The sequence below is a fragment of the Homo sapiens genome, chromosome 4 (genome assembly GCF_000001405.40).
Source record: "Homo sapiens chromosome 4, GRCh38.p14 Primary Assembly".
In the NCBI taxonomy this organism is placed as follows: Eukaryota; Metazoa; Chordata; class Mammalia; order Primates; family Hominidae; genus Homo; species Homo sapiens.
This window is the reverse complement of record NC_000004.12, coordinates 74,854,596-74,867,836: the sequence shown is the minus strand read 5'-3', so window position 1 is coordinate 74,867,836 and position 13,241 is coordinate 74,854,596.

Genomic DNA, 13,241 nt, shown 5'->3' with positions numbered 1-13,241 from the left:
AATTCATAGCAAAAAACCTAAATTACAGCTACAAAAATTAATGAGATGTTACACAATGACATACGATGAATTGCCACATTACAGCAGAAGATTAAGAGATGTTGTTTTCAATTGGTGTTGGGAATATGGGTATAAGAATAGAGGGTGATATAGGAGAATAAGCCAAGAAACTTCTTCAAGCTCTTCATTGCCATCTTCTATCCCCCAACTGACTGAAAAGCACTGGTTAAAAGAAAAGCACATTAATTTTTTTTCAGCAAAACCAAATATCTCCTTTTCTAGTATGTCTCATCTTTGTTTCATATCTCTCAATAGCTTTCTCCTTTATCTTGAGTTTCTTTCCAACTGTCCAAACTCCAAAGACTTCAAGTTTCAAAACCACATTCACTTATATTCAGCAATAGAGCATCAATCTACTTGCTTTCTTCTAATGATAGGTTTTTCATAATTTATTTTATTTTATTTTATTTTTTATTTTTTGAGATGGAGTCTCACTCTGTCACCCAGGCTGGAGTGCAGTGGTGCCATCTCGGCTCACTGCAACATCTGCCTCCCCAGTTCAGGCGCCTCCCAGCTCAGGCGATTCTTGTGCCTCAGCCTCCTGAGTAGCTGGGACTACAGGCATGCACCACCACGCTTGGCTAATTTTTGTATTTTTTAGTAAAGACAGGCTTTCATCATATTGGCCAGGCTCGTCTTGAACTCCTGACCTCATGATCTGTCCACCTTGGCCACCCAAAGTGCTGGGATTACAGGCGTGAGCCACTGCTCCTGGCCTCATAACTATTTTTAATTTTACTATTCAAGCTTAAATGTGCCTACGCTCCCAAATTTGATTTAATTATCTCTGGGGTGTGGCTGTGGCATTAATATTTTTACAAGTTCCAGGTTGATTTTTACATGCAGCAAGGATGGAGAAGCATTACACTAAGCATGCTTTTAGAAAAGTTGGCCTGATTATAATTGACTGCTTACATACCTGTTACCCCATTCCCCCAATTAGATTGTAAGCTTGTCGAGAAAGAGATCATCTTTGTGATAAATAAATGTATTTTGGGTAAGGGAGCTACTTTGTTAGCCCAGATCTGCAATCTATTACCTACAATTCCAAAATTCCAAATCTATGAAGAGGAAAAATGTTTCTTACCTCATTTGGAAATAAAAACCGACCTCAACTAAGATAAGGCTATTTATAGTCTTAATCGATTCCATTTAGTATGGATGTTTGTTTCACTGCAGAAGGTTAATGTTTGATTATGGGGTGCTGCCCTAGACTCTTCTAAGGGTATTACATATTTTCACACACACACACACACACACACACACACACACACAATCAAAAAAAAAATCTGAATTCTGAAACACATCTGATCCCAGAACTTCAGAGGAGATACTGTAGAGCAGTATTTATTAATGGGGGTTTAAGAGAGCTGAGGTCTTAGGGGATAAGGTAGCATTTAGAATTTACGTCAGCGGTTCTCAAACCTGATTGAATCACCTGCCAAGCTCTTAAAATCCAGCAGTGCCCTTGTATCACCTTTAAGATTCTTAGTCAATGGATCTGGGTTTGGGACTGGGTGCTAATTTATTTTTTTCAACTCTTCAGGTTATCCTCTTGTGCAGGCAGAGTTGAGAAGCAATGATGTGGACTAATGATTCTAAGTTGGGAGCTTTCCTGACCGTTCCCCGAGTCTGGGGAAATTTTTCTAATGACATATGATCCTTTGGAGACATGCCTCCATCACTCACACTACTAATGTGAGCCAGCATCATCTGAGATGAGTATTGAAGCCCTTGAGGGAAGAGATAAAGGCTAGAAAATATGGAGACATAAGGAGAGGAGAAAGTAGCCTGGATTTATTTTTATTTTTTAATTTTACTTTAAGTTCTGGGATACATGTGCTGAACATGCAGGTTTGGTACGTAGGTATACATGAGCCATGGGGTTTGCTGCACCTATCAACTCATCATTTAGGTTTTAAGTCCCACATGCATTAGGTATTTGTCCTAATGCTCTCCCTCCCCTAGCAACCCACCCCACAACAGGCCTGGGTGTGTGATGTTCCCCTCCCTGTGTCCATGTGTTCTCATTGTTCAACTCCCACTTATGGGTGAGAACATGTGGTGTTTGATTTTCTGTTCCTGTGTTAGCTTGCTGAGGATGATGGTTTCCAGCTTCATCCATGTCCCTGCAAAGGACATGAACTCATCTTTTTTTATGACTGCATATTATTCCATGGTGCATATATGCCACATTTTCTTTATCCAGTCTATCATTGATGGGCATTTGGGTTGGTTCCAAGTTTTGATATTGTAAATAGTGCTCCAATAAACATACATATGCATGTGTCTTTATAAGAGAATGATTTATAATTCTTTGGGTGTATACCCAGTAATGGGATTGCTGGGTCAAATGATATTTCTGGTTATAGATCCTTGAGGAATTGCCACACTGTCTTCCACAATGGTTGAACTAATTTATGCTCCCACTAACAGTGTACAAGCATTCCTATTTCTCTGCATTTTTGCTAGCATCTGTTGTTTCCTGACTTTTTGATAATCGCCATTCTAACTGGTGTAAGATAGTATCTCATTGTGGTTTTGATTTGCATTTCTCTAATGACCAGTGATGATCAGGTTTTTTTTTCATATGTTTCTTGGCCACATAAATGTCTTGAGAAGTGTCTGTTATATCCTTTGCCTACTTTTTGATGGGGCTGTTTTTTTTTTCTTGTAAATTTGTTTAAGTTCCTTGTAGATTCTGGATATTAGACCTTTGTCAGATGGATAGATTGCAAAAATTTTCTCCCATTCTGTAGGTTGCCTGTTTACTCTGATGATAGTTTCTTTTGCTGAGCAGAAGCTCTTTAGTTTAATTAGATGCCATTTGTCAATATTGGCTTTTGTTGCCATTGCTTTTGGTGTTTTAGTCATGAATTCTTTGTCCATGTCTATGTCCTGAATGGTATTGCCTAGGTTTTCTTCTAGGGTTTCTATGGCTTTAGGTTTTACATTTAAGTCTTTAATTTATCTTGAGTTAATTTTTGTATAAAGTGCAAGGAAGGGGTCCAGTTTCAGTTTTCTGTGTATGGCTAGCCAGTGTTCTCAGCACCATTTATTAAATAGGGAATATTTCCCCATTGCTTGTTTCTGTCAGGTTTGTCAAAGATCAGATGGTTGTAGATGTGTGGTGTTATTTCTGAGGTCTCTGTTCTGTTCCATTGGTCTATATATCTATTTTGGTACAAGTATCATGCTGTTTTGCTTACTGTAGCCTTGTAATAATAGTTTGAAGTCAGGCAGTGTGATGCCTCCAGCTTTATTCTTTTTGCTTAGGATTATCTTTTATCACAATATACGGCCTTTTTTAAATGAAACTTAAAGTAGTTCTGTGAAGAAAGTCAATGGTGGATGAGAATAGCATTGAATCTATAAATTACTTTGGGCACTATGGCCATTTTCATGATATTGATTCTTCCTATCCATGAGCATGGAATGTTTTTCAATTTGTTTGTGTCCTCTCTTATTTCCTCGAGCAGTGGTTTGTAGTTCTCCTTGAAGAGGTCCTTCATATCCCTTGTAAGTTGTATTCCTAGGTGTTTTATTTTCTTTGTAGCAATTGTGAATGGGAGTTCACTCATGATTTGGCTCTCTGTTTGTCAGTTATTGGTATATAGGAATGCTTGTGATTTTTACATATTGATTTCGTATCCTGAGACTTTGCTGAAGTTGTTTATAGCTTAAGGAGTTTTTGGGGTGAGATAATGGCATTTTCTAAATATACAGTCATGTCATTTGCAAACAGAGACATTTGACCTCCTCTCTTCCTATTTGAATGCCTTTATTTCTTTCTCTTGTCTGATTGTTCTGGCCAGAACTTCCAATACTATGTTGAATAGGAGTGGTGAGAGAGGGCATCCTTATCTTGTGCCGGTTTTCAAAGGGAATGCTTCCAGCTCTTGCCCATTCAGTATGATATTGGCTATGTGTTTGTCATAAATAGCTGTTTTTATTTTCCGATATGTTCCATCAATACCTAGTTTATTGAGAGTTTTTAGCATAAAGGGGTGTTGAATTTTGTCAAAGGCCTTTTCTGCATCTATTGAGGTAATCATGTGGTTTTTGTCATTGGTTCTGTTTATGTGATGTATTACGTTTATTGATTTGAATATGTTCAACCATCCTTGCATCCCAGGGATGAAGCTGACTTGATCGTGGTGGACAAGCTTTTTGATATGCTGCTGGATTCAGTTTGACAGTATTTTATTGAGGATTTTCACATCGATGTTCCTCAGGGATATTGGCCTGAAATTTTCTTTTTTTGTTGTGTTTCTGCCAGGTTTTGGAATCAGGATGATGCTGACCTCATAAAATGAGTTAGAGTGGAGTCCCTCCTTTTCTATTGTTTTGAATAATTTCAGATGGAATGGTACCAGCTCCTCTTCATACCTGTAATAGAATTCGGCTGTGAATCCGTCTTGTCCTGGTCTTTTTTTGGTTGGTAGGCTGTTAATTACTGCCTCAATTTTAGAACTTGTTATTGGTCTACTGAGGGATTTGACTCCTTCCTGGTTTAGTCTTGGCAGGGTGTATGTGTCCAGGAATTTATCCATTTCTTCTAGATTTTCTAGTTTATTTGCATAGTTTATAATATTCTCTGATGGTAGTTTGTATTTCTGTGGGATCAGTGGTGATATCCCCTTTATCATTTTTTTTATTGTGTCTATTTGATTCTTTTCTCTTTTCTTTATTAGTCTGGCTAGCAGTCAATGTATATGTTAATTTTTTCAAAAAACCAGCTCCTGGATTCATTGATTTTTTTTTAAATTATTTGTCGTGTCTCTATCTCATTCAGCTCTGCTGTGATCTTAGTTATTTCTTGTCTTCTGCTAGCTTTTCAATGTGTTTGCTCTTGCTTCTCTAGTTCTTTTAATTGTGATGTTAGGGTGTCGATTTTACATCTTTCCCACTTTCTGATATGGGCATTTAGTGCTATAAATTTCCCTCTAAACATTGCATTAGCTGTGTCCCAGAGATTCTGGTACATTATGCCTCTGTTCTCATTAGTTTCAAATAACTTTGCTATTTCTGCCTTAATTTCCTTATTTACCCAGTAGTCATTCAGGAGCAGATTGTCCAGTTTCCATGCAGTTGTGCTCTTTCGAGTGAGTTTCTTAATCCTTAGTTCTAATTTGATTGTACTGTGATCTGAGAGGCTGTTTGTTATAATTTCCGTTCTTTTGCATTTGCTGAGGAGTGTTTTACTTCCAATTATGTGGTTGATTTTAGAATAAGTGCTATGTGGTGCTAAGCAGAATGTATATTCTGTTGATTTGGGGTGGAGAGTTCTGTAGATATCTGCTAGGTTCGCTTGGTTCAGAGCTTAGTTCGAGTCCTGAATATCCTTTTTAACTTTCTGTCTCATTGATCTGTCTAACACTGACAGTGGGATGTTGAAGTCTGCCACTATTTTTGTGTGGGAGACTAAGTCTTTTCGTAGGTCTCTAAGAACTTGTTTTATGAATCTGGATCATCCTGTATTGATGCATATATATTTAGGATAGTTAGCTCTTCTTGTTGCATTGATCCCTTTACCATTATGTAACACTCTTTTTGTCTTTTTTGATCTTTGTTGGTTTAAAGTCTGTTTTATCTAAAACCAGGGTTGCAACTCCTGCTTTTTTTTTTTTTCGCTTTCCATTTGCTTGGTAAATATTCCTTCATCCCTTTATTTTGAGCCTATGTGTGTCTTTGCACGTGAGATGGGTCTCCTGAATACAGCACACCGATTAGTTTTGACTCTTTATACAATTTGCCAGTCTGTGTCCTTTAATTAGGGCATTTAGCCCATTTATATTTAAGGTTAATACTGTTATTTGTGATTCTGATACTGCCATCATGATACTAGCTATTTATTTTGCACATTCATTCATGTGGTTTCTTCATAGTATCGTTGGTCTTTACATTTTAGTGTGTTTTTCCAGTGGCTGTTACTGGTTTTTCCTTTCCATATTTAGTGCTTTCTTCAGGCACTCTTGTAAGGCAGGCCTGGTGGTGACAAAATCCCTCAACATTTGCTTGTCTGTGAAGGATTTTATTTCTCCTTCACTTATGAAACTTAGTTTGGCTGGATATGAAATTCTGGGTTGAAAATTCTTTTATTTAAGAATGTTGAATATTGACCCCCACTCTCTTTTGGCTTGTAGGACTTCTGCAGAGAGATTCGCTGTTAGTCTGATGGGCTTCCCTTTGTAGATAACCTGACCTTTCTCTCTGGCTGCCCTTAACATTTTTTTCCTTCGTTTCAACCTTGGAGAATCTGAAGATTATGTGTCTTGGGGTTACTCTTCTCGAGGAGTATCTCAGTGGTGTTCTCTGTATTTCCTGAATTTGAATGTTGGCCTGTCTTGCTAGGTTGGAGAAGTTCTCCTGGATAATATCCTGAGGTGTGTTTTCCGACTTGATTCCATTCTCTCTGTCACTTTTAGGGACCCCAATCAATCATAGGTTTGGTCTTTTCACATAGTCCCATCTTTCTTGGAGGCTTTGTTCATTCCTTTTCATCCTTTTTTCCCTAATCTTGTCTTAATCATTTCATTAAGTTGATTTTCAATCTGTGATATCCTTTTTTTGATGATCGATTCAGCTATTGATACCTGTGTATGCTTCACAAAGTTCTCGTGCTTTGTTTTTCAACTCCATCAGGTCATTTATATTGTTCTCTAAACTGGTTATTCTAGTTAGCACTTCCTGTAACCTTTTGTCATGGTTCTTAGCTTCCTTGCATTGGGTTAGAACATGCTCCTTTAGCTCAGAGGAGTTTGTTATTACCCACCTTCTGAGGCCTACTTCTGTTAGTTCATCACACTGATTCTCTGTCCAGTTTTGTGCCCTTGCTGGAGAGGAGTTGCAATCATTTGGAGGAGAAGAGGCATTCTGGTTTTTGGAATTTTTAGCCATTTTTGGGCTGTTTTTTTTCCCCCCATCTTCTTGGATTTCTCTACCTTTGATCTTTGAGGCTGATGATCTTTGGATGAGGATTTTGTATGGGGTTCCTTTTTGTTGATGTTGATGTTATTCCTTTCTGTTTGTTAATTTTTCTTCTAACAGTCAGGCCCCTCTTCTGTAGGTCTGCTGAAGTTTGCTGGAGGTCCATTCCAGACCCTATCTGCTTTTTTGTCCAGTGGAACCTGCAGAACAGCAAATATTGCTGCCTGGTCCTTCCTCTGGAAGCTTCATCCCAGAGGGGTGCCGGCCTGATGCCAGCCAGAGCTCTTCTGTATGAGGTGTCTGTCAACTCCTGTTGGAGGTTCCTTCCAGTCAAGAGGCACAGGGGTCAGGGACCCACTTGAAGAGGCAATCTGCCCCTTAGCAGAGCTCGAACACAGTGCTGGGAGAACCCTCTTTGTCAGGATCCACTGCTCCCTTCAGAGCCAGCAGGCAGGAATATTTAAGTTCACTGAAGTTGTGCCCACAGCCACCCCTTCCACCAGGTGCTCTGTCCCAGGGGCTTTATCTATAAGCCCCTGACTGGGGCTGCTGCCTTTCTTTCAGAGATGCCCTGCCCAGTGAAGAGGAATCTAGAGAGGCAGTCTGGCCACATCCACTTTGCTGCGATGTGTCGAGTTCCACCCAGTCCTTAGCACTGTCAGAGGAAAGCTGCCTACTCAAGCCTCAGTAATGGCGGACGTCCCTTCCTCCACCAAGCTCTATTGTTCCAGATTGACTTCAGACTGTTCTGCTGGCAGTGAGAATTTCAAGCCAGTGGTTCTTAGCTTTCTGGGCTCCCTTGCTTCAGCCGCCTTTCCAGGGGAATGAATGGTTCTGCCTCTCTGTAGTTCCAAGCATCTCTAGGGTACAAATAATAATTTAAAAAACCCTTCTGCAGCTAGCTTGATGTCTGCCCAAACAGCTGCCCAGTTTTGTGCTTGAAACCCAGGGCCCAGGTGGTGTAGAGACACAAGGGAATCTCCTGGTCTGCGGATTGCAAAAACCGTGGGAAAAGCACAGTATCTGGGTTGGATAGCACAGTCGCTCGTGGCTTCCCTTGGCTGGGAAAGGGAGGCCCCTTGCTCCTTGCACTTCCCAGGTGAGTTGATGCCGTGCCCTGCTTCTGCTTGCCCTCTGTGGGCTGCACCCATTGCCTAACTAGTCCCACTGAGATGAACAGGGTACCTCAGTTGGAAATGCAGAAATCACCCGCCTTCTGCACTGGTCTCACTGGTTGCTGTGGACCGGAGCTGTTCCTATTCGGCCATCTTGCCAGATTCCCCCAAGTAGTCTGGATTGACTGAAGGGCAGGCTGAAGACGCAGTTAGGCATCTGATGTTAGAAACGTGAATGCTTATTTTATTATTATTAGAATAATTTTGTTTATGTAGACACTTTAAACTGAACTTTTCTCTATTTATTGTGCAAAATAAACTTTTTATTCATCCTTGTCTTTTCTGCAAGTAAACAAGGTCAAATTTTCAAAATTCATTTCGCAATATTTTCTGTTTCCATGGTGGTCTCAGTGTAAGTATCTCTGGTGCTACGTGTGGGATTTGATGAAATGCCTTGAAAATCCAAAGCAGATGAGAGCAAATCACCTACTGAAGAGGGTGGTAGAGATGTCTATTGTGAAGTAAATCTGCTGCAAGCCAAGGAACACAAGAAGTTATCACACATAAGGTTTTACATGTCATGCTGGCTGCTTTCCGTCTTTGAGCATTTGTGCTTCATGGGTGGAACGTCATTCCTGTGAGTTATATTAGACATCCACCCTGTTTTAATTTATAGTGTAATGTCAAAGCCATAAATTACAAGCCTTAAAAACCAGCCTCAATAATGACAAATAAATTGAGTCATGCTATGTGCATTATTAATATGCTCAGGCTGTATATGTCTCCTGAAAGTATGTAAAAGAAAATCTAAGATGAATTTTTTCTTTTGGAATCTTAAAACAATAAATCAATGTATGTAAAATGAAACAAAAGTGCTCGGCACAGAGTAAGTGTTCAAAAATGTTATTCGTCATTGTTGATGGTATTGTCATTGCAGTGTGTGAAGGTGTAGGGAGGTTGGTGGCCTGAGCTGCAGCACTAGATGCTTGCAGACTTGATAAAGTGCACTTCACAAATGGGACATCTCCCTTCCCACAACTGTCATGTTTTTTGGCTCTTTTGCCATGTCATTTGCATTAATCTTTGAGTTGAGACCAATTATGTGATCAAGCTTAGCCTAGGCAGGGACACTTGAGTATTTAAGGTTGAGTACACTGGTTTGGGTTATTTGAGATGAATGAACCTGTAAGTGGCATCTTGGTATACAGTAAAATGTCTTGGAACCCGGGGTTAGAACCTGAGTTCTTGTATGGGTTCTGCTTTAGATGAGCCCAAGGACCACAGGCAGGTTGCTTCACATCCCTGGGTCTTAATTTTCTTATGGGTGAAATGAAAAAATCAAACTAAGATGGCTGGTGGAGGCTGGGCATGGTGGCTCACACCTGTAATCCGAGCACTTGGGGAGGCCGAGATGGGTGGATCAGTTGAGGTCAGGAGTTTGAGACCAGCCTGGCCAACATGGTGAAACCCCATCGCTACTAAAAATACAAAAATTAGCCAGATGTGGTGGCAGGTGCCTGTAATCTCAGCTACTCAGGAGGCTGAGGCAGGAGAATCGCTTGAACCTAGGAGGCAGAGGTTGCAATGAGCAGAGATCATGACACTGCACTCCAGCATGGGTGTCAGAAAGAGACTCTATCTCCAAAAAAAAAAAAAAAAAAAAAGGAAACGAAAAGAAAAGATGGCTGGTAGAGTCTTAATCATCTCTAGTGTTATTTGGATATAAATTTAAAGAAAACCAAGATTATGCCTCAATGGGAGACTTTGAAGGTTTGCTGCCTGATGGCCTACACCAGGGGTTGGCAAGCCATGGCCTTGTAGAGGAAACCAGCCTGGCACCTGCTTTTGTATGATCTGTAAGCTAAGGATTTTTTTCTCTTTATAGTTTTAAATAACTATATTAAAGATAGTTATATAAATACCTCCATACTACCTCCAATTTTGATTCTTTTAGGCTGCAAATCCTAATCTATTTACATCTGACTTTCCATGGAAAAATGTGTTTACTCCCATACTATTCACATCCTACATAGAGAGTTCAAAATAAAAATCTCATGGTGACCTTTAGTTACCAAAGAGAGGTTCTTTTCTACCTTTCTCTCCAAGATGGATGGATGACTGTCATATTGTCCCATCAGTTAAATTAATTGTTCCTTTTATTTTCTTCCCAATGCTTTAAACATTCTTAAGTTGTTATTTTATTAGAATAATGACAGTTACAAACTTACAAATAGTTATCAAAAGTTTTAAGTAATCACGTTTCTGTTTGACTCTTTAGACTGGCAATAGGTGCAACCCTTTCTATTCCTTTTTGACCATCTGAGGAGAACATTTTTTTTTCTTTATAAAGATTTATGTGGCACAGCTATTTATCAGGGGGAAAAGCCAACATAGCCAGTTCTTCCCTGAGATTTTTTGTGCTGGAGCTGGGCAACCTGCCCCTTTCTCTTCTGAGCATGTAGATGAAGGGCATGAGTGCTGATGCTGTCAGTGGTGTATTAGACTGTTCTCATGCTGCTAGTAAAGACACACTCAAGACGGGGTAATTTATGAGGGAGAGAGGTTTAATTGACTCACAGTTCTACATGTCTGGGGAGGCCTCACAGTGACCATCATGGTGGAAGGTGAATGAGGTGCAAAGTCACATCTTACACGGCAGCAGGCAAGAGAACTTGTGCAGGGGAGCCCCTATTTATAAAACCATCAGCTCTCATGAGACTTATTCACTAACACAAGAACAGTATGGGGGAAACCATTCCCATGACTCAATTATCTCTACCTGGCCCTACACTTGACACATGGGGATTATTACAATTCAAAGTGAGATTTGGGTGGGGACACAGCCAAACCATATTAGCGGCCCTGTCTCCAGCCTTATGGAGAGGCTGTCTATGGGGAGAGAGAACGAAGCTGACATAGAGATAAGCCAGGATGAATAGGCAACAAATTAGGAGAAACAATTTGGCAGTATTGAGCCCCTGCTTTATGAAACAGCCCTTTTTGCTTATGTGAGTTCCAAATTTCCCTTTGGTCTTGGTTAGCTTGTGTTGAATTTTTCTCACTTGCTACCAAAGTTGTTCCTGACTAAGAAGACCATTCATTTTTCTCAGAATAAGAACTTCAGAACCTGGAATGTGATCTTATTTAGAAATAGAGTATTTGCAGATATAATTAGTTGAGGATTTCAAGAAGAAATCATCCTAGACTTAGGGTGGGCCTACTCATCCAGCAACTGATGTCCTTATAAGAAAAGAAGAGGACAGAGAGACACACACAGAGAAGAGGGCCTTGTGAAGACAGAGGCAGAGATAGGTGTCATGCTTCCATAAGCCAAAGAACACCAGGAGCCACCAGAAGCTGGAAGAAGCAAGGAAGGATTCTCCTTTAGAGCATTCGGAAAGCAAGTGGCCTGGTTAAGACCTTGATTTTATACTTATGGCTTATGAACTGTGAACAGGATACATTTTTGTTGTTTTAAGCTACCTAGTGCATGGTAATTTTATGATCTGAGTCCTCGGATGTCCATACATCTGGTCAAAGCCAACAAAAGCATGTCTTACTTTTCTGAGCACCTGCTGTGAGTCACAGCACTTCTGTTGTTTTAAGCTACCCAGTGCGTAGTAATTTTATGATGTCAGTCCTTGGATGTCCATACACTCTTCTAGTATCTGGTCAAAGGGAACAAAAGCATGTCTTACTTTTCTGAGCACCTGCTGTGAGTCACAGCACTTCACTTGTATACATCTGTCATCCCAGCACACTGTAATGGTGAACTTATATCTCTGGCTTTTCTACTACAGCCTGTCCTTTCACAAGTGAAGACCTTAGGTTATCCTTTGTGTCTTCTCCTTCTCCTAGCACAGGGCCTGCTCCATCATTGGAGCCCAGTAAATATTTGTTTCATGGATGCATGCGTGAATGAACGAATCATGTCTAACATTTTGCTAAGCATTCAGAAAGATTAATCAGAATATGGAATTTCTCCAGGAGTTTAAAACCAGGATGGAAAGGAAAGACAATCCAGAAGCAGATAACCTGCAGCAGTCCCAATGAAAACCAGTCTAAGCGTGACTAAAGGAGAAGCCAAGGATACATTGACTTCATAAAGCTCTGTACACACTCCCCCAACCCCTGGCTTGTATAGAACTGCTCTAGAATCAGATTGGCTGGCTCCATTAGCCCAGCTCTGCTACTTTTGAACTGATGTCTCTCCAAGACATTCATACTTAAAACCTAAAAGATGTACTTTTTTTCTCTTATGTAAGAATTCCACGTAATGTCTTCCTCACTTGTCTCTTCTCATTAGTGTCTGATATTAACATTGTAATTCAAATTAGAGTTGCCGGCAGATCACACAGAACTCAGTGTATGTAATCCTTAAGGTAGATATAAATCGCAGTTACAATTTGTGTGTGTGTGAATATAAGTGTAAAAATCTACATATACATGTAAACAATGCAATTTCTTATATAGCATGTTCTTTGACATCTTCAGCATTTAATATAGGATTTGAGTTTTATTTTGTCCAACCCAAAGACTTTTAATTTAAAATTCATGGGTTATTTTATAAGGTTACAGTACATGGGAACCATGTCTTATATTTCTCTTGTCTCCCACAGAGCATGTAGTAGTGTTGGAAAAATACCAGGAAGTTACTCGGGCCCAAACTATAGGGACTTCGGGACCTCATGATGCCTCCTGACCTGCAATTCCACCTCCAAAACCTTGCCAGTCCTGCCATCTCAATCTTCAAATATGTATCTAATAGAATCACTTCTTCTCTTCTCCACTGCTGCATTCTGGGTCTAATCATCATCATCTCTTGCCTAGACAATTTGCAACACCTCCTAATGGTAGCTCTTCCCTTTCTTGTTCCTTCTGACTCTATTCTTCACACAGCATCCAGAAGTTCTTTTTAAAGCATAAGCCTTATACTCTCCTCTATCACACTTAGAGAACATTTCAAACTTGAACCCCTTCTAGTGGCATCCAAAGTCCATTGTTATTTTTTTTTTTTTGCCAACTTTGTCTCCATGCATTCTTCGTGCTATGTTCTCTGCTCTAGCCATGCTGGCCTTTTCTCATTCCACAGATATTTGAGCTCATTTCTGTTGTACCTGTCATGTTTCTGCTATA